Below are 26952 nucleotides of genomic sequence, written 5' to 3' on the forward strand. Positions count from 1 at the left end.
AAATGTTTATTTTTTCTCTTTCTCTCTCTCTCTCTCTCTCTCTCTCACAGGAACATCCAAACTGTGTTGTCACAGTGTATAAAACAGAGGCATATTCCTTTCAGGTTATACTATACCCTGACTCCTTGATGAAATGATTTGATGTGGTTCACAAATCAGAATCAGACAGAATGAAATCATTACACCTTATATAGCTTAAAAACAAAAAAGCCAGACATAAAGTGGACAGGAAATCAGTCATAATGAAAAACTATTTCAAGTCACACATTTGCTGATTTAGTGTCTATTTGCTGAGCATTTGTATCACTATGTGCTAGGTGCTGCTGGGTCTGTGACAATGAACAGGAAAGGCTGTGTGGCAACTCAACACGAAAGCCAGCTGAGCCTCCTAGTAACCAAAACAAAAAGAGAAACATCACACAGTTTCAAAAGGGAGGTTACTGGCTTATCAAGAGAGAAAAAAAATGTCTTGGTAAGAAGCTACGGAGAAACATAAGGAATAGGTCAATGTGTAGATAAGAGATACTAATCATAATATTAACATATAGATATTTATGTACCTATGTAAGACTTTCTCTTCCACTAAAACAGATGAAGTAATTTATAATCTTTTGAATTAAGCAATCAATAGAATAATATCTGCAGAAACTCTTATCTTTCTGGACTGTTTAAAGGTACAAATCTAGAACCAAAGTCGCATATGTGATTTAAAACAAGCAGAAAATACATATTGGCAAAGGGCTTTCTTACATGAGGTATTACTGCTCTAGAAAATTGTCTACATTAATTTATAACTGTAAAAGGATCTCTGGCAATTACATTTATCCTATTCTCTTATTTTTCAGGTGTCTTTTGGGGATACATGTTATAAATCTTTTTTATTTCTCTATATAACCCTTCTTTCTTTTGGGTAACCTGATAGTAATAACTAAGCCACAGGTGAAAGGTTTCTCAAGGTGTGGCTATTGTGTTCTCTTGACTAACTTCTACCTGCACTGTTTCCTTTTTACAGGGTGGCTCTTATGTGACTAATCTAGGCCACAATATATTATTTTTTTTAAGTTAGGTAAAAGTAAATGTCTCCAGACCTTTAACTATATAGTACTTTATTTGCTAAATTATGCAAATCAATATACCCTAAATCAAATACATACCTCCTCTAAAGAGAGTTCCCCTTGGTTTTGAAACTCACTTTAACAAGCTATCAATCAGAGGCTGATATTTAGAGGTAGCATAACTGATTGGTAGCAGTGGGATTTCTGGCCATTTTTAGTGATAACCACCGAAATACATGAGCAGGGTTTTTAAACCCTAGGAAGGAAAAAGCCTGACCAAAAACCCTGACAGATATATAATGCCATGATAGAAATGCTACTCATTATGTCATACCTAATAATCCACATGTACCTCATTACTCAGCTGTTTGTGTTACACCCTGTTGCCAAAGGAAGCTCCCTGCTTCTCCTCCTGATCCAGCAATTAATATGCATATCAGGCACAGTGGCCAGACTTCTACGGAGAAAGAGGAGGCAGGCAAGAGATCCATAGTCATAAAGACCTAGGCGAGTAATATTCTCAGCATTATTCAGGAATGTTTAGTTGCTTGCTCAAATTTATCATTAACAAAGGGCCTATTTCCCAAAGGCTTCCACTGTGTAATTAGCAACAACAAATACTGCCCCTACTCCGGTTAACCTATGGGATTAGTTACAAAGGTTTTGTAAATTTCAGAAGATATCTACACAGATGTCGGGAGAGCACACACGCAAACACACAGTGCAGCATAATGGATGCAGCCATAGCCATTAAGTAGTTTAGGATTTGTGAGACTCAGACAACGAATACATTTTATGGGGGAAGTCATAAAAGTCAGACAGGAAAAAATATACAGCATGAAAGTTGAAAACTTCTAGACAGCATGTAAAAAGTACGGAGAAGTAGCAGGGGCAAAGGAAGAAACGTACCAAGTGGAGCTCATTGGTCTTAATAAATAGGACAAGGTCACCTGAGTTTACTTCTGGAACCAATAGAAATCCTGTAGTATCTAATTATTTTTGTAAAATGATTATTTTCATGCTTCTATTTACCATTGTCATTAGATAGGTTCATATTTCATTAGTCTGCTTACTAAAATGAAACTTTTCGTTTTATTTATGGAAGTTTTTATACTTCTCTAAGCCTGCTCCAAAAACATACAATTAAGCACTGCTAACCTGTTGATCAGGAAAGTATACTATACCAAAAGAGATGCAAAGACATGTTAACCATTCATACTGATTGAAAGGGCTCAATTTAAGAAAGTAATTTTAATTTAGATTAAAAAATAATCTGTAAATGACAGAGTCTGGAATGACATTATGAATAAAAATTAAGGCTAATGACCTTATCTTAACCATAAATTACTTTAGTTTGTAGAGATTTGTTCACACTTGGTAAGCAGCACTGTTCATTTCTTATGATGGGTATTCGTGTTTAAACAAGTTGGCAATTTTCAATTCAGAAGTCAAAATACTGTCTTAGTTGCCAACAAAAATAATTAATGAAACACTTCTAACCCCAGGGGTAAATATGTAAGCAAGTGCATGGTAATGGATAATAAAAATAGCACTTCCTTTTACATATGGTGCTAATTAAAATCTGATCAGAGTAATAATTGAGCAGTGCCCAGGCTACCCTTGATTTTTCTTGTCAGGTTTCAATTGTTTGACACAAATGCACTGACCTCAATAAATGAAAACACATTTAAAAAAAAAAAACAACCTAAATTATAGCTATCCTTATTCAGGCCAACAAGTGATTTACTGTCGCTGTGGGTTTTGAGGTTACTCGAGACATGGAAGTTTTCTAGGGAGCCACTCATTGCCACTGGTGTTCATGAACAAGAAGGCACCAGAAAGTCCATGAGACTTTCATTCAGAGGTTTTTCCCCACTGAATACACAACTCCCTCCCTATGCAAATTCCAATTAAAACAAAAGAATAATATATTACCTAACCAGGGGTTGAATGAGTGTGTGACAGGCATTTTGCTAAGAGCTTTCCAGGTATTATCTCAAGTCTTCACAACATCCTGATGAAAAAGAATCATTACTGGTCCCATCACACTGACAAACTGAGTCTCAGACTCTGGCTCCAGAGCTCATGGTCTTAATTTGCTACACTATCTTAAAGTAATGGAAAAAATGCACACCAGTATATTTTAAAAAACTAAAAAAGGAAAGAAGATTCTGAGTACAATACTCGTACTCTCCGAAATTACCCTTTTTCAAAAAGAAAGATTAAATACCAAAACTCAATTGAAATCATACTGATTTAATTCTACAATGTGATGTCTAAAACCTCTAAGTACCTGCTTATATAAGTAAAAACAAGTCATGAGAAAATAAGAATAATACATATTTCCATGTCCCAAGTGCCCCACCAATATGCTTCATATTCACAAAGCTCTAGTTAAAATGGGAAAAGCCAACAGATTACTATTTTAATATGAATGCTTAATGAAATATATACTAATACTCACATTCAATTTTTCCATAAATCAATGTATTGCTAAAACAGTATACACTTTTATCCACTCAATAGTCATTACTTTTATTTAAAATTAAATTCAACTGTATTTTGTATCTACCTACAACTTCTTGCCCTGTGAAGGGGTACAAAGATGTATCAAAGATGCTCTCTGCTTCTAAGAAATTGTTTATTAACTGGCACAAGAAATAGCATCAACTATAATATCTGGTAGAGTGTAAAAAAGGGTAGAGTTCAAGTTCCTAAAAATGTTAATGCGCCAGGCTATACGTAAAGCGCTGGCCTAGGCACTATATGGATCAAGACTAAAGACACAGGCACTGTCCTCAGGAGCATTCTAGTGGAGAGGGGAGGTATCCAATACACCAATTACGTGAATACCTGGCTTCCTTTCTTAAGTGTATAAAAAGCAAATAAAGCCTTAAAGACTGCTTCACAGAGCTCTCCATGAGCAGGGCTGGGGATACACAGAAGCCAGGGAAAACAGATACAAGACTCTTGCAGTCAGCGGTCCCAGAAAGACAAAATGAGGGCTTGTCCAAAGGCCTTGTACTGGGAGTGAAGGCAAGTGGAAGGAACGAGCAATGGGGACAAACAGGTCTCAAAGGGTGGGTGACTGCCTAGAAATGAGCAGAAGGAGAACTTGGAAATAACAGGTCTGAACAAAGAGACAGCTTTATATGACAGAATAAATAAGAAGTATGTTAGGTAGACAAGAGAAATAGATGTGGTCACTGACTTGTGGAGCCTGAGGAGCTGGCAGGGGACATTCAGCATAAATTTACTGAGCTCCTATTACATAGCAGGCACTGTTCTAGGATCCAGAGGTACAAGAGTGAACAAAACAAACTAAGAGGTGTGCAGCAAGCAACAGGGTAAAGTTAGACTCTCCTGCTGACAGGCAAAAGCCAGAAATACAGACTGAGAAGTGTCAACTGCAAATGAGAAAAACCCTCGGTTCTCCTGTATTCAGGAGAGTTTCAAGAAGAGAGAAGAGAGGCTACAACACTGAATACAGGAGTGAGTTGGGGAAACAATCTGGCTGGATGAGAACTGAACTTAACCGATTTGACATTTCTGTGACTGTTGAGATGGCCTTCTCCATCGCACTGGGCCAGGATCCAGCAGGAGGAGATCACAGCAAGTGTGCCTTTGAGAAGTTTGTTATTAAAATGAAATAAAGGATGGTATTTTGATACATAGTTCTCTGAGAATACAGAGAAAGTAGTGATTCATTCTGACCAGGAGATCTGGGAATGCTGATGGTTGGCAGTGAGGATGTCCTCTGTTTTTGAACAATAAATGCAGGAAAAGAAACTGAAAAGAATGCCAGGTATGGTGGCTCATGCCTGTAATCCCAGCACTTTCGGAGGCCAAGGTGGGTGGATCACAAGGTCAGAGTTAGAGACCAGCCTGGCCAACATGGTGAAACCGTGTCTCTGCTAAAGATAACACAAATTAGTTGGGTGTGGTGGCACACACCTGTAATCCCTGCTACTCAGGATGCTGAAGTAGGAGAATCACTTGAACCCGGGAGGCAGAGGTTGCAGTGAGCTGAGATCACCCCATTGCACTGCAGCCTGGGTGGTAGAGCGAGACTCCATCTCAAAAAAAAAAAAAAGAAAAGAAATGGAAAAGGGATGATAGAGAGTCAGGGTTACAATAAGGTCTCATTACAATACAGCTTTAAACATTAGAAAACAAACACTGTCTTGTGTAATCATACACTTCTAAGTTAGACATATTTCTGAACAAGATAAAATGTGCTACATAAAAATAAATGCTGGCTGGGCGTAGTGGCTCATGCCTATAATCCCAGCACTTTGGGATGCTGAGGCAGGTGGATCACTTGAGGTCAGGAGTTTAAGACCAGCCTGGGCAACATAGGGAAACCCTTACTAAAAATACAAAAAATTAGCCAGGTGTGGTAGCATGCGCCTGTGGTCCCAGTTATTGGAGAGGTTGAGGTGGGAAAATCACTTAAGCCTGGGAGACAGAGGTTGCAGTGAGCCGAGGTCGTGCCACTGTACTCCAGCCTGGGTGACAAAATGAGTTGATCTTGTCTCAAAAAAAAAAAAAATGCTATTTTTGTTTAAATTAGGCAAATATACTTATCTGTTATTTAAGACTAAAAACCTGATTTCTTGGTCCTCCATCTAGAAAATAGTCTGTTTTAAGACAAGGAAATAGTTCTTGTTTAAACTAGAGAATGAGAAGTCTGTCAGACACATGGCCCCACTCTTGCTCCAAGTCCTTCTCACCTATTCTCAGATAAGACCCAGATCTTGGGAAACAAATTAAGGGCGCATCTGCTGGATTGGACCTAGCTGCACTGGGAGTTGCCAGAGTGCTCTGAGCAGCATCAGGAATTCCTCTGGGCCTTGTCGTGATATCATTTGCGCAATGTAGCCTGTGATGGCAGAAAATTAAGCTGGTATTTATACAGGGTATTAGAGAAGGACCCTCCCTGCACCAGGCTTAAAGTGACAAAATGTCAGCCTCAATCATCCCACAGGCTTTGGTCTCCCTCTGTAACCTCTTTCTTTTTGGCTGCTCTCTCTCTCTCTCTCTGTCTCTCTCTCTGTCTCTGTCTCTCTCTCTCTCTCTCTCTCTCTCTCTCTCTCTCTCTATATATATATATATATATATATACATACATATATACACATACACACACACACACATACATATGACACTAACAGAAAAATAAATTGAAAAGAGCACTGAGGCAGAGTGTATTTCACGCACTGGTGCCAATGTTTCATATCTCATGAACCTCGGGAAAACAATTCGTAGAACTAATTAGTTTACAGTGTTTAAGCAGCTTGTTCCTCGTCTTTAATCTTCTTTATGTAATAGTGTGAACAAAGCCATATTATCTTCTGATTTTTTTATACAGTTTAACAAATATAATCTCCCTTTTCTTTCCAGAGATTACTTCATTTAGACATCAAACTATGTTGTTGTTGTTTTTTTCCCCTGGGGAGAGGGGATATAAATAAATTGACATCTATTCACATAGGTCTCAATGGTCTACCAGATCCACCCAGGCCCTAATCCTCTTTGTTGTCATGGAATCCACCTGGCTTAATTATATTTACAGTTTTCAACGACACCACATGGCATGCAGGTTTTCCCTGAACTCTGCACATCTTCCCGAATCCTAGCTATAAGTCACACTCCAGCTGCTGTATCCGTCTCGGATTCTAGACGGTGACAAGGCACTCTTGCCTGAAACTCAGCATCAGGTCCTCAAAGAATAGAGCCTGGATAAATCTCCCCTCCAGTATTTTTATAGCCTACTAAAAGAACATGATTTAAGAGAACTCCTGACCTAAAGCCAGGGGATGGGAAATAGATACATATGTGTACAAATTAGTTGGGTGGTCAGGGGAGCAAAGAAGAACAAGATACTTAACTTACAAAAGTTTTATCTTAAAATACTGCTCACAAGTATGACTTTTAAGAGAAATTGAACTTTTTGTGCTTTCTGATTCTAGATAAATATTTAGTTGCTAAGCTGCTGGAATGCTATGAGATACATTTTGGGTAGAGTCAAACTGAAATCCAAGAACTGGGTAAGGCTAGTGTTGAAGTAATTATTATTCATCTGGTGGGTGATGCTGCACACAAATAACTACTTGCACTGCTAAGGATTTGGAGCAGAGTTACTCCCTGAGAGAGACACTTTTCAGGTGGCAGAAACCTACCTCAGACTTTTATTTATACACTGGAATCCACATTATTAAAGAATTTTACAGTCTTGGAAAAACACAGGACTTGGTGCAAACTTTCATTTTGCTTGCCTGAGAACTGTGTACTGTCCCATGGTACCCATCTGCCTTAAAGTTCACTCTGTCCTTAATTGTCAAACAGATTCATGGTAACTCCTAATTAGTGCAAAACAGGTAACACAGCTGCGACTCTGCAACTGCTGAACACCTTTAGCATCTATATCAAGCTAAGCTCAGGAGCCCTCTCTGCTCTCTCCCAAGGTTAATGGTTTCGAGTCTTCTGAGAATTATGGAGTAGGTGCCCACAGTGAGAGAGGGCGCCTGGTTCTCCAAGCCGCTGTTCCCACTACTAATAGAGTCAGCATAAGAAGCAGCCAGTTTCCAGCAACGGTAACAATGGAGAAATTTCTCTTACTGCACAGCTGCCAAATAACTTTGAGGATCTGATTCAGAACTAACATGGAAGATTTAAATGGATCCATTGCAACAGACGTTTTGCATGTTGGCACACTGGAATTAGAGGAACTAATCAGAGCCAGAGTGGTACCAGATGGTCTCTTGAGAATTCTTCTGAGTTTAAGATATGTGAGCCAATGAGACAAACTGTATAATTGCCCAAGATTTTACTCTAAGAGCACTGGCACTGGGAGTAAGACCACTAGGAAACTCAGCTCTGCCACTTTCCAGCTGTAGGACTTCAGGCAAATTAATTAAATAGGATGGTGGTGAAGAATTAAGTGAGATACTGTATCTAACACTCAGGGTACCTAGGTAGAGCACAGGGAAGATGAGGAGCTGTTAACTGTGATAGTTATGATTTTGTATTTTTTTTTTTTAGATTTCTGAGTTGAGGAATATTTGCAAGCAGGTACAGTAATTACCCAATTCAGATGTTTATAGAAAAAGAAACACATCTTAAAAATAAAGGTACCACAAAAAACAAGAAGTAGAAAATTGGAAGATGGAGAGATGAAAGAAAAATGAAGAAATTTCAGAGAAAAATGAAAAAACAAAGCAGATTTTAAAAAGAAAAAGAAAAAAAGGTAGGAAATACAAATTAAGAAATTTCAGAGAAAAATGAAAAAACAAAGCAGATTTTTTTAAAAAAAGAAAAAAGGTAGGAAATACAAATCTAAGAGGAGGGTTTGAATTCCTAATCCTGTTCTTTTTCCTTGCACTTCTATTCAAATCCCTTTTCTGCATCTCAACTTTTGTCTGCACTAGATGGTCCAATTCTAGCCAGACTTCAACTTGTAGCAGTCCCAAGGTAGAAATGACTAGAAAAAAGAAAGTTCCCTCTTAGCTATGAAGAATGAAAAACATTAAAATGCAAATTCAATGTAAAAAAGAAAGCAAGACTATACACACATTTCACAGTAGCAAATTCTCAGGCAGAAGTGGAAGCCAGCAAGTAACCCCCTGAGGTGTGCTAGTGTAACTGTTTCAAGTTTTGGGGATGACAGATAAACAGCAAGTCCTATTACTACTGAATGAATCTCTCTCTCTCTCTCTTTTTTTCTCTGGGAAGAAAATGTTTGTGATAGAATTGGTCCTTGAGAAAGAGTGAATTGATCTGTTAGCTTTCTGTGCTGGACCAGAAATAATTATTGCCATACCTACTTCCTATGGATTATGTTCAAAAGTTAGAGATACTCACTTATTCTGTCTTTATGCTATGGGGAACTAATCGGAACTGGGGTTTGCTTCACTGACTCTCACTTATTTTAAAAGTCAGGCTTAGTAGGAAAGAAAAAGTCAAAGAGATTGACCAAGAAAGGATGAAATGTTCGGTCTAGGTAAACAAACACTGTCTCAGATAAAGTTCTCCACGGGTCTCGACCTCACCTTCTACTGCGTATGAATTCATTTTACAATGTTCGTTTTTTTTAAGCTAGATCTTTGTGTGCTTATTTTCAACAGGGGATGACAATTGATTTGTTTTCTATTGAACCTCGCCAACTGGATACTGAAGCGAGCACGGCATATTTAGATGCCCTTAAACTTTCAGGTTCACCTTTAAAACGTGCCAAGACAATGTCATGTTGAGGGTAAATGTGCAATTTTCACTAGGCTGAGACGAGAAATGAGTGTCTCGCAGGTGAAATGACATTAAAGGCGTTACAGTAAAACAGAGACCAATCCTTATTGATTCATTTTAACTCAAATAAAATTCCAATAATTTGATGGACATGAAATAGCAAACAAAGGAAAAAACAAATCAGATGATTCCTGAGTGTGTGTGAAAGAGCACCCAGGCCCTGCTAGAAAAAAGCCACACTGCCAAATTCAACCCTATGTATATTCACAGGCACTTATTTAGCCTACCGGCTTCTCCTTCAGGAGTAGGACTGGTAAGGAACTTTAAAAGCTAAAAGATATGGAAGATACAACCTAATCAGGTTCAGGTAGCTAGAGAAACAAGACACACCCATAAGAAAGAACTTATGATGATAATTCTAAAAAAAAATGCATAACTACATAGTGGAGAGTGGTTCGGGTAACTTATGGAAATCCTGAGGCTATAAAAGATAAAAGAAAGACATCAGTTTATAGAGTTCACCCATATCTAACTTTCTTCTCCTTCTGGGCGTATGAGAGTATTATACCTCTCTACTACCTTAGAGTTAGGCAGAGTTGTGGGCGGAAGGAACATGAGTCACTTTTGGGCTGAAGCAAGACTCTTCAGTGTTCTCTTATGTGGTGGTTTGTGTTGAGATGACAAAACCACAAGACTGAAGAGGCCTCTATCATTGAGTCACACACAGATAATAGTTACCTGCCTTAATAAACTCTGTCAAACCCCTGAGATCCTGGGGCTGTTTGTTACTGCAGCACAATATATTCTGTCCTGACAAATATAGATACCAAGGCAGGGAGGAGCTAGAGAAAGTTACTATGAAAAGAATTTTAGGGTCTCCTCAGTGTATTTATACTTTAGTTTCCTTCCCCCTTTGGCTGACCTGTCTGCCTCCAATATCTCTCAAATACTCCACATTGCTGCTAGAGCATTCTAAGACCTACATCTGTTCACATCTCTGTTTGAACTTCAAATGGAATCGCCTGGCACAAAAGATAAAGAACAACTTCCTTAGCATAGGGTCAAGGCCCATGGTATCTGGCTCTGTTTCCCAATGTTATTTTTGCCCACTAGTTCCCATCCTGTATTCCTGCCGTCAGCACTCTGATTGAGCCACATTCTGCTCTGCCTCCATGAACTGGGACACACTGCTGTGCCTGTAATGGCCCCCACTCCCTCTTCCCCCCGGGTGAACACCTAACCAACTTCTGGCAGGATTCACTTCCTCTGTGAGGCCTTCAGCTCCTCTCTCCTCCCTCAGCACTTTGTGCATTCTGTTACAAAACACTGTTCCTTAAAAACTTTGTTTAATCCCCTTCCAATGGATAGTGAGTTGCTCAAGGCAGTGAGTGATTCACTTTTGTTTCCCCCAGAGCATCTAGCACAGTATCTGACAAGCAGTTAGTATTTGCAGAAATAATGAATGAATAAAGGAAAGAAGGAATATCTGCATGGCTGTGTCCATGAGAGTATTAGGCAGATGACAGGGGCAGAGTAGAGGTTTGTTGGATAGAAGTAAAATGTAAATGTAAGCAGCCAGCAGGTGTCAAATTACAAAGAATGAGAATTTTTCACTTGATCCAAAAGGTAATAGGGAATCATGATAACTTCATGAGCAGCAAAATGATAATTTTGTTCAGCCCTGTAGCACCTTGTGCCTTGAATGTCAGCTATGTTTATGCCAATCTTATTCCCCCTTGGACTGTAAAGCTCCTTGAAAACAGGGTTTGTGTCCTAATCATATTTGTATCCCCTATAGCAACAAGCACAGTGTTTGTATAACAGGTGCCAACAAATATTTGCTGAATTTAATTTTACAAAGATTACTCCCTATGCGATGAGGCTGGATAGACCAGCTAGCAGACTACTGTATTATATCCAACATTACATGGGAAATGGACTTAAAGGGGAGTATTGCCTATGGAAATGTGAAAATAGAAATCTAAGATGGTCTAATATTCCAGTCAGCAGCCTTTAGGGTCTCTAATATCAATTAATGTTTTGAGCCTGGGGTCCCAGAAAAATGGTGGTCTATTTAAAACACAAATGTTGAGAGGAAGATTTGCTTTTCTCAGGGAGTACATGAGTCCCATGTGGGAGATAACAAAAGAAAATATACTAGAGCTAAAAGCAGCTAGAAATACTAACCGCTGTATACAAATGTTATCTTATCCCCCATCTTGCGGCTTAGTTCAATTTTTTTATTGATTGATTGATTCATTCACTCACTCATTGGTTTTATTTTTGTAAATTTCTTACATTGTATAAAGTAATGTTTCTGAAGTTTATTCAAGTCTATTTAGATTATTGTCTGTTTCACATTAATCCCCAAAGTCAAAGACGGTGAGTGAAGTAAAGAAATGATGTGCTAGACTCTTCTGCTTTGGGTTTCCCAGATATCTCTAGTTATTCTCTATCAGAAAGGGTTTGCAGGGGCTTCCTCTTGTTGAAGTACCCTTTTTAAAACTCCAGCTGTCAGCAGGGAATCCTACAAGCATCAAATTATTTTACAAATCCCAAGTTTAAAAGAGCACTCCATTCAGAAGCTATACCTGGTTTTATTATGACTCACTTCTTAAGAAGACACACACACACAACTAGTGAGCCCTTAAAAGAAACATTAAGACCGAAAAACAAAAAAACTCTTTTTTTTTCCAAGACAGCGTCTTGCTCTGTCGCCCAGGCTACAGTGCAATGGCACGATCTCAAATCACTGCAACCTCTGCCTCCTGGGTTGAAGCGAGTCTCCCGCCTCAGCCTCCCAAGTAGCTGGGATTACAGGCGAGTGCCACGACGCCTGGCTAATTTTTTGTATTTTTTAGTAGAGATGGGTTTTCACCTGTTGGGCAGGCTGGTCTTGAACTCCTGACCTCACGATCCGCCTGCCTTCACCTCCCAAAGTGCTAGGATTACAGGCATGAGCCACTGCGCCCGGCCACAAAAAAACCTCTTTTAAGATACTGTCCAAAGCCTGTACCTGAGGGATTCAGTGTTATACCTCCCAAAATAAAATATGGATTTAAAATTCAAGGTATATATAATAGGTTATCAATAAGTTAACTATTACCATCATTACAATATTTCATTTAATCTATTGCAAACTCATGTATTGGACCAGACAAAATTTGTTTGTTTATTTAGATGGAGTCTTGCTCTGTCACCCAGGCTGGAATGCAGTAGGGCAATCTTGGCTCACTGCAACCGCCGCCTTCCAGGTTCAAGCATTTCTCCTGCCCCAGCCTCTCTAGTAGCTGGGATTACAGGCACGTGCCACCATGTCTGGCTAATTATTGTATTTTTAGTAGAGACAGGGTTTTACCAAGACCAGGCTGGTCTCAAAATCCTGACCTCAGGTGATCTGCCTGCCCTGGCCTCCCAAAGTGCTGGGATTACAGGCATGAACCACCGTGCCCGTCCTGGACCAGATAAAATTTAAACCAAACTTAACAGATTAAAATTTTCTGTGGGTTAATGTTAAAATCATACCTAAAAAAGTTTTAGTCCAATGTGAACCTAAGTTCACATTCTAAAAGGTACCTGGAACCTCAGGTGCCTTCACTGGACCCTAAAGCTTCCAAGCATTTTGTGATTGATTTGACCCCACCTACCCCCCCCACCAAGATCTAACACTAATGTTTCATTCCTGCAACTGAACATTATCAGTTTTTCATATCATTTATTTGTGGCAAAATGAGAAAACATATCCATAGCAAGGACTATGTACAGGAAAGTTCTCTGAGTGGCCTTGCACTGACTCAGTTATGCTCTTTCTTGCTTGTAGCTCTCAAGAATAACTGTACCAGTGTGCTAGGAATGCAACATCCTGAGATAAGAGGGGACCTGGCTGAAACAGCTGGACTTAGTTCCAATGTCCCCAGAACAGGATGTCCTTCAACACTTTAGCCCAGAAGATCTCATGACTCAGGGTATAAAACCCAGGGTGGGTGGATCTCCAGGGTCCCTCAGCTGGGGTACAAGTGGGGCATGCAGGGACAAGATTCCATCTTTCCTTGGCAGCTTGCTTGAACCATGGGGGACCAGCTAGCTAGCAATTAATTCTAGGATTATGTTATTCCTTGATGCCTATCTATAGATAATAAACCCGCTTTGTATAACTTGTGTGCTTGGGTGTTCTGTCTCACTAGACTCAGAGAAGTTGGTAACCAGTGCATAGTGAACTTGCTTCACACTATGTCATTTATTTGTTTATTTATTTATGTATTTTAGTGACCTGATCTTCCTATGGTGCCCAGGTTAGACTCCAACTCCCTAGCTCATGGGATCCTCCTGCCTCCACCTCCCAAGTAGCTGAGACTACAGGTGCACGTTACCATGCCCAGCTATTGCTTTTAACACATCCCACCCATGCTTTCAGTTAAACAATTATTCTATCTCCCTGAATTGCGTGACATTTTCCAAAAAAAGAATCATCAAATGAATCCTTTCAAAAGAAATCAAGCATCTCTTGCATCCTCACCCTGCAGCATTAAGATGCAGGCCTGCCAGCGAGGGGGTGAAATCTTCACCCTCACCTTTCAGGGAAGTGCAGGGTAGGCTACCACCTGCACTGCAAAGTTTATCCAACATGAGAGTTCCTTTGGCAGGGAACATTAACCGCTGACTTATGCTTGTCACTGCATAGGTAAAGGACACTGATACAGGTAAAGAAGTCTGCATGTGCACTGTCATGACCAATGCCTTACAGCGGCTACTCAGATTCCTCTTTACTTACTGTGTCACCATCCAGTGGGGAAAAGCACCTCAGTATTAATCCTAGTTACACATACTCTAACAGGACATGATCTTAACCATTAGGGCAGTATTAATTAAGGTATCTTGCAGAGATCCTGCTCATTATATATTTAAAAACAAGATGAGGTTTCATTAACTCTTTTACTTTCAATCATCTTCAAACTCAGCTCCTAGAAAGCAAACTGGGTTCCATACTTGCTTAAGGCTTAAGAACACATTTTACATTTATTCTCATTCAAGCCACATTGTGATATGAAGTGATTTATGAATTAGAGAGCACATGTGTTATCAGAATTCCGTAATAAAATGTTCAGAGACTCTTGGCTTTGTCACCATTAGGGACAGGACATAGGCTTGCTTTTCCATGGTCTGGCCAAACGGCCTCCAACGACAGGACAAGTCCCCACCTCCAGGCATATTAAAAATTATAACATGGTATATACTTCAGGCAGCAGAACTCTTAATTCTAGCATTTTCTCAAGGCAATACAGACGGCCCCTCCCTCCCTCCTTCCTCCCTTCCTTCCATGGAGTTCCGCTCTTGTTGCCCAGGCTGAAGTGCAATGGCGTGATCTCAGCTCACCACAACCTCTGCCTCCCGGGTTCAAGTGATTCTCCTGCCTCAGCATCCTGAGTAGCTGGGATTACAGGTGTCCACCACCATGCCTGGCTACTTTTTGTATTTTTAGTAGAGACGGGTTTCACCATGTTGGCCAAGCTGGTCCGGAACTCCTAACCTCAGGTGATCCACCTGCCTTGGCCTCCCAAAGTGCTGGGATTACAGGCATGAGCCACCGCACCCAGACTGTTCTTTCTTTTTTCTTGGTGACTGGAATAAGGGAAGTCTGCAATTTTTATGACTTTATATGTGTATCCACAAAATCTATGTGCAAAGATTGCCTCTTCAGAGGGGAACTGAATAGTTGGAAAATAGGAGTGGGAAGAAGACATGTTTTTCACTGTATACCCTTTTATAGCTTTTAAGTTTTGTATCAGGTATATGTATTATACATTCAAATACTAAAAATTAAATTAATTAATTTTTTGAGACAGAGTCTCACCCTGTCGCCCAGGCTAGAGTGTGCAGTGGTGCAATCTCGGCTCACTGCAACCTCCGCCTCCAGGGATCAAGCGATTCTCATGCTTCAGCCTCCCGAGTAGCTGGGATTACAGGTGCGCGCCACTATGCCAGGCTAATTTTTGTATTTTTATTCGAGACAGGGTTTCGCCATATTGGCCAGGCTGGTCTCAAACTCTTGGCCTCAAGTAATCTGCTCACCTCTGCCTCCCAAAGTGCTGGAATTACAGGTATGAGCCACCACCCCTGGCCTAAAAATGTAATTTTAAAAGTACAAATAAAAGCAAAACAACTACAAACTTTCCTAAACCATGTTTAAAAAAAATTATTCAGTCTTATAAAGTTACAAAAACTTTTTAAAAATCTAACCTTTAAAAAAAATATTCAAAATACATTTTGGAAAAAATGCTTCAAAGATTTTATATCTAAAACACTGCACCTGGACACTGTTAAGAAACAGTTATATGTCATCCTTTTATTATGATAACTATTCAGCTAGAAAGATCATTACCTACTTTGACATTATAAAAGTTAGTGAATTTAAAAAATAGATAATGTGTTTTTAAAGGAAAGCATGTTATTTTTCCCTCTAAGGTATGCTTGACAAAAGTTCAGCATTTCAAGTAAATACACATTATTTCATTTATCAGTTGTGATCATCTCATTCTCTTCAGTATGACTTAAGAAGCTTCAGGAATGTGTTTATTCTCACCTCAGTCACTCTCACAGGCAAGACTCCCATTAGAGAAAGAAGCCACCAGACGCCACCAGAACCTTAACAAAATTAAGGATACCTTAGGGCTCTCAATTTCACTCTGAAAGAAAATCATCCTTGGCCGAGCACGGTGGATCATGCCTGTAATCCCAGCACCTTCGGAGGCCGAGGCGGGCGGATCATCTGAGGTCAGGAGTTTGAGACCAGCTTGGCCAACATGGTGAAACCTCGTCTCTACTAAAAATACAAAAATTAGCAGAGTGTGGTGGCGGGCACCTGTAATCCCAACTATTCAGGAGGCTGAGGTAGGAGGATCGCTTGAACCGGGAGGCGGAGGTTGCAGTGAGCAGAGATCACGCCACTGCACTCCAGCCTGGGGACAGAGACTCCATCTCAAAAAAAAAAAAAAATACATCTTTAAGATCTATTCTTGTAAGATTTTTTTTCAACAGGAAAGCTAAAAAAATGCTTAAAAATATATACATTATTTTAGATTTGAAGCCACCACCTAGAGAAAAGGAGATATATCCTATTTGTTACATAATGTCTCTCCAGAATAATTACTTTTATTTGTTCACTTTCTAGAGCAAACACCATAGTTGTTTTTTGTTTTTTGTTTTTTTTTTATCTTTTACAACCAAATATTTTCTACTAAATAGGAGATAAAGACCAATAAAACCTTTGTTCTCTCTCCCTTCAGCCAACCCCTAAGGCATATTTTATCTCTAGAGTTGTTATCTGAAGTGAATTACTGATTAAAAAAAAAAGTTAAAGGACCCAGACTGCTGAATGTGTGCGGTAACTGCAGTGTTTTCCACACCTTGTTTCTCTTTAGCTAGGCCCTACCAATAGTCACTGTTCCTACCAGCCTGCTTTTGCAGAAAAGAAAAAGTTGCCTAAATACCATGGCTCCAATGCCTAAATTCCTTTACCAAGAAAAAACAAAAACAAAAACAAACAAGTATATTACAAGACTCTGGAAAACCGAAGTCTTACATTTACAATGTACTTATTCAGATTTGTAAACTCCTAAGTGGCAGGAGAATATTAACATGTACTTTTAAGGAATTTTCATGGGCAAACAGGTTAACTTCAGTAACTACCTGTACAAGGTTTATAATGAGCTGTAGACCCTTTTTTCTAACTCTCTTGGCCACAACTGGTATATTTTGCCTTCAGAGTATTATCAGTGTGTATGTATTGAACATTGGCACAGTCTATCATTTAATATTCACAACAAACCTATAAGGTTTATACAATTATTACCCACATGTCACAGATGAGGAAACAGGCACAGGCACTTACCCAAGTGTACACTGCTTGTTAGTGTTAGTGTGGAGGCTGAAACGGAAGCAGGCTGGCTCCAGAGTCTGCATCCTAAACCCTATTTTGCAATGAGTTTAATGCTCTTAAAATGAGCAGAAATGAAATGTAAAACATTTTTTACCCCAACATTTTTTTATGATGTTGAGAGATGACGGCGTGCTGGCAGTCCTCACAGCCTTCGCTCGCTCTGGGTGCCTCCTCTGCCTGGGCTCCCACTTTGGCGGCACTTGAGGAGCCCTTCAGCCCACCGCTGCACTGTGGGAGCCCTTTTCTGGGCTGGCCAAGACCGGAGCCCGCTCCCTCAGCTTGCAGGGAGGTGTGGAGGCGGAGGCGTGAGCTGCGGGCGGCTGCGGGCGGCGCTTGAGGGCCAGCTGGAGTTCCGGGTGGGCGTGGGCTTGGCGGGCCCTGCACTGGGAGCAGCCGGCCGGCCCTGCCGCCCGGGCAGTGAGGGGCTTAGCACCCAGGCCAGCGGCTGCGGAGGGTGTACTGGGTGCCCCAGCAGCGCCAGCCCACTGGCGCTGAGCTTGATTTCTCGCTGGGCCTTAGCTGCCTTCCCGTGGGGCTGGGCTTGGGACCTGCAGCCCGCCATACCTGAGCCTCCCACCCTCTGCTCCATGGCACCCAGTCCCATCGACCACCCAAGGGCTGAGGAGTGCAGGCACACGGCACGGGACTGGCAGGCAGCTCCATCTGCAGCCCCGTTGGGGGATCCACTGGGTGAAGCCAGCTGGGCTCCTGAGTCTGGTGGGGACGTGGAGAACCTTTATGTCTCTAGCTCAGGGACTGTAAATATACCAATCAGCACTCTGTATCTAGCTACTCTGGTGGGGCCTTGGAGAACCTTTATGTCTAGCTCAGGAATTGTAAATACACCAATCAGCACTCTGTCTCTAGCTCAAGGTTTGTAAACACACCAATCAGCACCCTGTGTCTAGCTCAGGGTGCTAGACAAATCAACACTCTGTATCTAGCTACTCTGGTGGGGCCTTGGAGAACCTTTGTGTCTAGCTCTGTATCTAGCTAATCTGGTGGGGACATGAAAAACCTTTGTGTCTAGCTCAGGGATTGTAAAAGCACCAATCAGTGCCCTGTCAAAACAGACCACTCAGCTCTACCAATCAGCAGGATGTGGGTGGGGCCACATAAGAGAATAAAAGCAGGCTGCCTGAGCCAGCAGTGGCAACCCGCTCAGGTCCCCTTCCACGCTGTGGAAGCTTTGTTCTTTCGCTCTTTGCAATAAATCTTGCTATTGCTCACTCTTTGGGTCCACACTGCCTTTATGAGCTATAACACTCACCATGAAGATCTGCGGCTCCACTCCTGAAGTCAGCGGGACCAGGAGCCCACCGGGAGGAACGAACAACTCCAGACGAGCCGCCTTAAGAGCTGTAACACTCACCTCGAAGGTCTGCAGCTTCACTCCTGAGCTAGCGAGACCACGAATCCAACAGAAGGAAGAAACTCTGAACACATCCGAACATCAGAAGGAACAAACTCCAGACGCGCCACCTTAAGAGCTGTAACGCTCATCGCGAGGGTCCGCGGCCTCATTCTTGAAGTCAGTGAGACCAAGAACCCACCAATTCTGGACACAATGTCATGACTTAGGCAGTAAGCATCCATGAATTCTTAAACTTTTAACGTTATTCATTTTTAGCAAATATCTATTGACTCCACAGAATATGCAGTCTTGTGTAAGATATTTCAGGGGAACACGAGGAAGTATGACAAATAACGCCATGTTCTCAAGCAGTTTGAAACTCCTTGGCGCCTCCTCTCCACCAAAAAAGGAGGAAAAAAACAAATTAAACAACATTTAAAAATACATTTCCAAGCATCCCCGGAAGTCAGGATCTTCTAGTATCCATGGCCTATTATATACAATGGTTATAGGCCTGGTGTTGACCGGGTTGCTGGGTTCAGTTTGCCTGGAAGTGGATTCCAGAACAGCCTATCAGGAAGAGGTAGTTTCTGTAGTCAAAGGCAGGAGGCAAGCTTTAGCCACCTCCTGTACTGGCTTGAGATAAAATCAAGAAATCCACCTCCTGACTGCTTGTCCAGGCCTCTTTTTTCTGTCCTTCCTCTAACGTCAACCCAATTTCCCCAAAATTACTTAGAGCAGGCTGGCGCGGTGGCTCATGCCTGTAATCCCAGCACTTTGGGAGGCCAAGGTGGGTGGATCACCTGAGGTCAGGAGTTCGAGACCAGCTTGGCCAACATGGTGAAACCCCTGTCTCTGCTAAAAAAAAAAAAAAAAAAAAAAATACATAAATTAGCTGGGCGTGGTGGCAGGCACCTGTAATCCCAGCTACTCGGAAAACAGAATCATTTGAACCTGGGAGGCAGAGGTTGCAGTGAGCCAAGATCATACCATTGTATTCCAGCCTGGGCAACGAGAGCAAAATTCCATCTCAAAAAAAAAAAAAAAAACAAAAAAACAAAAAACAACAACTACCCAGCATCTCTTTGCTACAGACAAGATCAGAGAGTCTCGTTCATCCCATGTTTCTGAGAGGTAATGTCAAGTTATTCCAGTTCAGCTGCTTGTGTTTCCATAGAGGATGAGCATTTGGCCTTTAGGAGGGATTGAGAAGTACCTTATCACAACGCTACCTACATGTTTGGTAGGTCTTACCCCTCTCCTCCTTCCTGCTCTCACTGACACAGATTTGTAGCAGAATATACAAAGATGCCTTTTGTGGGAAAATGTTGCCAACTCTACCCCAGACAACAGCTGGTGCTGTCTGTTGGGGCTTGCTAAGCAATAAAGTGCGCTTAAACAATAACTGCAACTTCCATTAGTGGATGACCCATTCCTGGGGAGGAACATCCTGGAGAAGAAACGTGGGTCAGCAAACCTAGGACTAAACCCAGATGTAGCAGGGCTTTTGGCTTCTCCTCCTTCAGACTAGGCCATAATCTCCCTGAATGAGACAAAGTAGTTTTCAGAAAGTACCAAGTAGACAGTTCATGTGTTTGGCTCCTAGGAGCAAGTCATATCCATTTAGAGTCTTGGCTTTATGCTAATGGGGACAATGTCCCCTGGACTCCTTTGGCATGGCTCACCACCTGCCCTCCTCCTGACAAGCATTCTCATTGTCCCAAAGTAGGCACCTGTAGTTTCAGAACCAGCTCCCTGAGGTTGCTTCCATTTATTAAGACAATTTGGGCCTAGAAGCTGGTTAGTAAGTTGCCATGGTATCGCGAGCAAAGCATTAGTCGGCTTTGCTTTGCTATCTGTAGTAGTAGGTGATCTTTTATAAAAAATTGTTGATGTACATGAGGACAAATAAATCAACACATTTACATCTCCTAACTCATTTGTAGGAACAGGTTCATATTCTGCTGAAAACAAAAAATCAGGAGAGGATCAGAGGCAGAGGCCTGGGCAGGGAGGCTATTTTATGTAACTGTATTGGTATAAAATTACTCCTTTTGCTAACCACATCTAGAAGGTAAACGGAGCCTTATATGGAGAAATAATACTGGAGAAATAATAGTCATGTAAAGATAGGCTGCCTAAGACGTAAAGGCTGGGAAAGATTTTTTGAATAGATAGAAACTTTGAAATGTGGTGAGATCTGATTAAATGGGAACCTGTCTGGTTTGCATCAGCTAAAGTTCTAAAGAAGGCATAAGATGCTTGTTTGGTGTCTGCATCTCACGGCTACCTAGGGAGCGCTGGAAAATCTTAGCAACTTCTTCAGTTTGTTCCACTTAAATCTGAGGCTATAGACCACCTCTGTGGGGACCATTACATAACACGCAGGGCACAGTGCAAAATGAGAATGTAGGACTCCTTGTTCAAAAAGCAAGAAAAAAACAGTGCCATTAAGAACACTAACATCTAAAGCTTTTTCCTTTCTTCCACAAACTTTCAATTTCTCATGATGTTTTTTATTTGCTATTTAAAGTCATTCTGAACAAAGGAGAGAAAAACTAAAACATTTAATTATTAGCATGAAGTTTACCATTTATCTTTATTTTTATTATTAGTAGTATTATTTTTTGAGACGGAGTCTCAATCTGTCACCCAGGCTGGAGTGCAGTGGCGCGATCTCGGCTTACTGCAGCCTCGGCCTCCTGAGTTCAAGTGATTCTTCTGCCTCAGCCTCCCAAGTAGCTGGGATTACAGACATGTGCCATCATGCCCAGCTAATTTTTGTATTTTTAGTAGAGACGGGGTTTCACCATGTTGGCCAGGCTGGCCTTGAGCTCCTGACCTCAAGTGATCCGCCTTTCTCGGCCTCCCAAAGTGCTGGGATTACAGGCGTGAGCCAACAAGCCCGGCCTACAATTTATCTTTATATGGTACAGTGACAGTTTCAATGCAAATATAAGAGCATTTAACTTACATGTGGAATAATATGACACAACCTTTTTTCATAGCTCATACACGTATATTTATTTCATTCTTACTAGGGCAGTGGAAACACTACACAACTAACTCAACTGAAACTCACTCACAAATTTCTTGATTCATGCATATTATACCAACACACTACAGGAACAGACAGCTTCCATAATCCACTTACTTTCTACTCCCCTGGAGCTTCCCTGGACCCCCACACATCATAGTCTATCAGAATTCTGTATTTGTGAAAAACTGTGAATGTGATATGCAGATAGTGCCACAATGGACAAACAAACATATCACACATCGCCTCGGCTCATGAAGATGCTCCATTTATGAAACACTAGTTCAAAGATAAAATTCAGAATTTTGAGACAGTGACAGCGGAGCCTTAAGCCAAGTATGGGGCCCTTCTGAGCTCAGGGCCCTGTGTGACAGCACAGGTTGAATGCCATGAAGCTAGCCCTGCACCTCAGACCTCTGGCCAATATGCTTAGAGGGACTATTCCTGAATACTAATAATGAGGCTTTCCAAGGAGGTAGGTTTGATGCCAATGTACACACTGTGATAAGGCTGCAGGGGATAGACTACATATGGTGATTACCCTGTAAATTACCTGTTCATATAGTTTCCCCAGGTTGTGTCGTTGGGGCCTGTGCTTTTCTTTATGTATATAAGTATGTATGTATGTATGTATGTATGTATGTATGTATGTGTATCAGCCAAAGGAGTCTTTGATTTCTTTTACTGTGAGATTTCCATTGGAAACAGACACCTGCTTTGCTCTCTTCTCCTTTTTCATTATCATAACCAAATAGCAAGCACATAGATTTTGGTTAGTCATTCTAAATCGAAAGACACAAATATATATAGGAAGATGTCAAAAAAAGAGAAGAAAGATGAAATTTTTTTTTAAATCGGGAGAAAGTAAACATACCCTCAATACTTAAATCTCCCACAATGCACAACAATAAACCTGCCCTGATATGGGCACTGCCAGGGATATACTCTTCTCCCTTTCTGTCTCTGAGTAACAACAGGTTGCAACTAGTTTGAATTAAAGAGCCTGCATCTGCAGCCAACAGCTGGAATTCGGCAACTGTTGTTAATCCACCTTAATTGCTTATTATTCTATGAGTCCTTGTTTGTGCTTTTGTTATTCAAAGTAATTTTCCCTACATGCACATACTACCAAGCATGGTTTTAGCAAGCTGTGGCCAAAGAATTCCTGTGTTTCCATCCTAGGGCTGTCATTGTTTTCTTTTGAAACAAAAACATATTGACACTGGATTTTTTTAAAGGGTTAGCAAGTTAGCAGTGATGCCCACAGATGGACTAGCATTGGCCTATATGTGCACAGAGATACAGGTATTAGCCAACGTCTAAATAAGAACAAGTCTTCTTTTGGTGTTTTAATTAGAGCTGCAGTTAGCAGGGTTGCTATTTTCCCTAAACAATTCTTCCCCTCCTTGAGTTAGGGAGGGATTTTCACTCCACCACTTCATTGCACTAGTGAATAAATGAGATCCCAGGGTTCCAGGGAGAAAAAAAATTACCAATATAAATGCATCAGGTGCAAATTACCAAGGTAAATAGGCCCATGGAGACTGTAAAGCTAGCAACACCAACTGGAATATCTGAGAGGGGCCAGCAGGAGAAAGCCCATGGGTCACAGTCTCAGTTCTGCAGTGTACTGTGTGTGTTTCAACCCGGATCATTCATCCTGCAGCCTGCAGAAAGGAATCCACAGCACAAAGCAGTTGTGATTTGGCATTGACAGTGTTCTAACTAATGCTTCAGTTGTAGCTTTTCTATTCCCCTCTCTTTTTATTCACCCAAATGCCACTCTTGGATAGTGTCAAAGCAGAACCTCCATTGTGAGAGACCAATGCAATATAATATCTCCAACTATAAGTTGATCATTAGTAATTATTTGTTCCCTGGAACTATTTATAATCTGCAATAAGGAAAAACTGCCACAAACATCACTATTAACTGTGGTCTGTAGGGCACGAAGGCTGATCTTTTACGTTTTCCCTACAATGTATACGTATATCTGCTAAAGAAAGTATTTGTAGCTCTGCATTTCTTCTTTCTGTTGCTCTTTACTGCAAAGTCTTTCTTGTTCTGTAATAATTTTGCCAGGGTAAGCCTAGTCCCACTGTAAGCTTCACATAAAGCAAAGACCTGTCATATACTTGTCTCTCCCAGAGTGCAGCACTATTTACTGACCTGAGTTCAATTTTTTTCTAGAAGAGAGCAGGCAAGGCTTTCCATTAGCCTGGCTTTGTTTCCACCCAACCCTATCCTCATATGGTGTGGCTGTCTCACCTCTTACCCTCTTATACATGTAGCCTGAATGCACACTTGTTAGTCTTATTTATTACCCTATTTGTGTACTGAAGCACATGTCCCTTAAAAATTAGCCTGCTCTACCCTGACTGGAACATGAAATTCTGCAGGCATCTGAGCATATATTCAAATATAATAAAAGGGCTATATTATAACAAAGGTCTTTAAGGGATATTTGCCTGGCCCTTAAATCACCTTGACTTTGTTTCTTCAAATAGCAAGTACCTAAAAAATATTCATTAAAAAAAAACAAAACAAAAAGGTTTCCTGTGAACATTTCAGCCAGGATTGTTCATCCTGAAGCCTGCAGGAAGAAACCTGTGAACAAGTGAGTGGGAGAATTCACAGTGGAGTCAGCTCCAGCTCCTAACTCTTACTATTTATTCATACCTGGTGTCGTCTTGGTTTTATGCTTCCTGTTTTAGAGCATGCATCAGGCTAGATAAGGACATATTGTGTGCATAGTATAAACTAATATGAGGACAACTTCTACAAGCCTTCTACAGCATATAGATCAAGTGTCATTCTTAAAGCCACAGGCCCTTGTTAAAACAATTTATTTGCATGGATTAAGCCTCACTTATAGATATTGACTCAACTATATGATTTTGTAAATATTTTTTTAAAATATTCTGTTTCTTACTTAGGATATTTCTTACCTCCTGCACAACACAACATCAACTATACAATCAATAAGATACAGTCTTTAGCTACAAATTAAGCTTCTTATTTTATCTGTGTAACAATCATTATGTGGTTTAATGATGATCTGCAGTCTTAAATACATTATATACTGTTATATCAGAGATGACATAAAAGTACAGATATTATAGCTTATGAAATCAGCCCCTCCTTAATCAGTTTGGCAATAAACCAAATTGCCCTGATTTAGCAAAGAAATTCTCAGAAACTATTTTTCTCATTCAACATTTGTGATTTTAATTCTTTAAAAAATATTTCAGTGTCTTATTTTGCACAACCATTCACTATTTGTTTGAAAAACTTAAAACTGTAATATCATTTTAATACAGTCATTATAAACTAAAAGTTAAGATACATACTATCGGCTACATTTCTGTTGTGGTATTTTAAGCCTCACTTTGTTGAAGCAGCAATTATTTTCATAACCTGAATTAACGAATGCTGATTTTGTACGTGAAAAGATGGACAGAAATGTCACACTTTAATTCACGCCATTAAACAAACAAAAAACGGCCATAAGGTCAAAATAATAGAACTAGATGAAAAAAGTAGTCGATCTAGAATCCTGTGAAATTTTCTCTGATTTAAACTGTTTCTTGCCTTAAAGAAAAGTACTGCAGCTGTGATACAACTATGAGCCCTCCTCCCTTTAAAAGCTGATGTCAGTGAGAAATACCCCATCTGATGGGTTTTCAAGATGTACACCGGGCATTGCCTACGGAAGTTAGTTAATTACACCAACCTGCGGCTGTTAGCAATGAGGACTGCCCCTCTTCACCCAACGTAGGGCAGAAACCAATCCTCTCAGTTCACCGATCTAATTCCAGTTTTCAGGCACACTGGCCATCCACTGCCTCCTTCCCTTCCCTCTCCAACTCTTAGAAAACGAAATGCAGTTAATTTATGTTCATTTTATCCATTTCCTCTCATGACTCACTGCAACAGGAAACTGCCGTCTCTGTTGTGTTTAGACCAGTCTCGTCTTAGCCACGAGCTAACAGTATCATCATTTAGAAAGATCCCTCATCATGCCACAGTCAACATCAAACTGTTCCTCGACATTCTGAATTTATCTAGCACATCTTCCCTATCTGATGCAAATGAACCGGCAATCATTTTAGGAAGCAGTGCCTTAAAGAATTGTGATCCTGACACAATTGCTGTGGCGGTTTACTCATTACATTACGAAGCACAGCTGTATCTTGTTGTTTCATCTGTGGGGCTTTTGACAGCACATAACTGCTGAAAAGCATGTACATGGGGTTGATATATACACACACATACATACATACTCAGGACGTGCAAAGGAGAACGTGGCCGTGCTCGAAGTGTATCAAACTATGACTTCTAAATTCCTTTCCATCAAATGCCAGTAGAAGCACTTGATAAATGGACCCTAGGAGAGCACTTCTCATTGCCTCAGGATGGAACGACTCGCAGGCATACGACACTCCATCAATACAGAGAGCTGGCAGATTGAAAGGCGGGAAGGACTATCTCTGATACGGTGCATCTGCTTACTAATAGCAGCAGCACTCCAACCCTCTTCCCATTCATTGCCTACAGGAACCACTCCTCAGAGAGGCACGCCAGTCAACAGATGGTCTCTGGCTAAGGTGTAATCAGGAGCAGCTTGCTAAATTTACCCAAAACAAATAGAATTACAGGCTTTTGCCCGAGTCTGAAATTGAATTGAGAACTTGGGTGGTGGATAATGGAAGCTAAAATGGAAGAGCTCAAAATGCATCACAGCATGTTGGGAAAGGGCGGGCACAGGGTGCAGTTTCAGCTGTGAACTCCACTGTTTACTACCAGGTCATCTATTGCCAATAAACTTGTCTACTATGCAGGATCGTTTCCCCTCAAGATCAAAGCTTCCAGGATTGGTAAAATTGTCACCAGTTAATGAAGTCATCTGCCTTCGGTGCACAGTGAACAAAATACTACCTGATGTTTTGAATATGTTTTGCCCAGTTGCAATGCCTTCACGTAAAATGTCAACAGTTCTAACCATCCTACTTTCATTAGCAGTTTTTATGTCCACTAAAAATCTGTCATTCAAAAGGTAAGAATCATTAAGGATTCTGAATAATGTGATCTTCTAAGAAGAGGTGTTCCGATGTCTATCTCCAGAATTCCTCGCTGTTTTCAATCATTCGTTGCTCAGAATACAGGCAACATAAAGCCTCAGAAATTGCCTGAAAAAGTCAGCATAAAATTAAGAGTAAATCATTTAACCTATGGCTATGTTTCACTACTTACGTAGTAAGAACTGTGCCACCCACACAAATCACTGTATCATGAAGCTTTAAAAGTAAATGAGGCAAAATATGTA

At 40.7% G+C, this 26952-nt stretch overlaps 1 protein-coding gene across 3 annotated transcripts in view, besides 1 other annotated feature; it reads right to left on the reverse strand.

The window, feature by feature from the left end:
• Positions 1–26952, reverse strand: part of EFNA5 (ephrin A5) — a 294044-nt gene that overhangs the window by 99822 nt on the left and 167270 nt on the right. The window contains exon 1 of one of the 3 annotated variants that reach the window (XM_011543250.4): positions 17188–25504. The exons of the other annotated variants lie outside the window; for them this stretch is intronic. Within the exon in view, the coding sequence (XP_011541552.1) occupies positions 17188–17258 (71 nt within the window). The 5' untranslated portion in view covers positions 17259–25504. Of the gene's footprint in view, positions 1–17187; positions 25505–26952 lie in introns of those variants that run through there. 3 annotated transcript variants of the gene reach the window in all.
• Positions 22475–22976: an enhancer, noted in NCBI's record as "NANOG hESC enhancer chr5:106834891-106835392 (GRCh37/hg19 assembly coordinates)". NCBI's record gives its function as "activates a minimal SCP1, AML or CMV promoter by ChIP-STARR-seq in primed H9 embryonic stem cells {active_cell/tissue: H9 hESC(primed)}" and the evidence as "EXISTENCE:reporter gene assay evidence [ECO:0000049][PMID:30033119]".

This window comes from Homo sapiens, chromosome 5 (genome assembly GCF_000001405.40).
Source record: "Homo sapiens chromosome 5, GRCh38.p14 Primary Assembly".
NCBI lineage: Eukaryota > Metazoa > Chordata > Mammalia > Primates > Hominidae > Homo > Homo sapiens.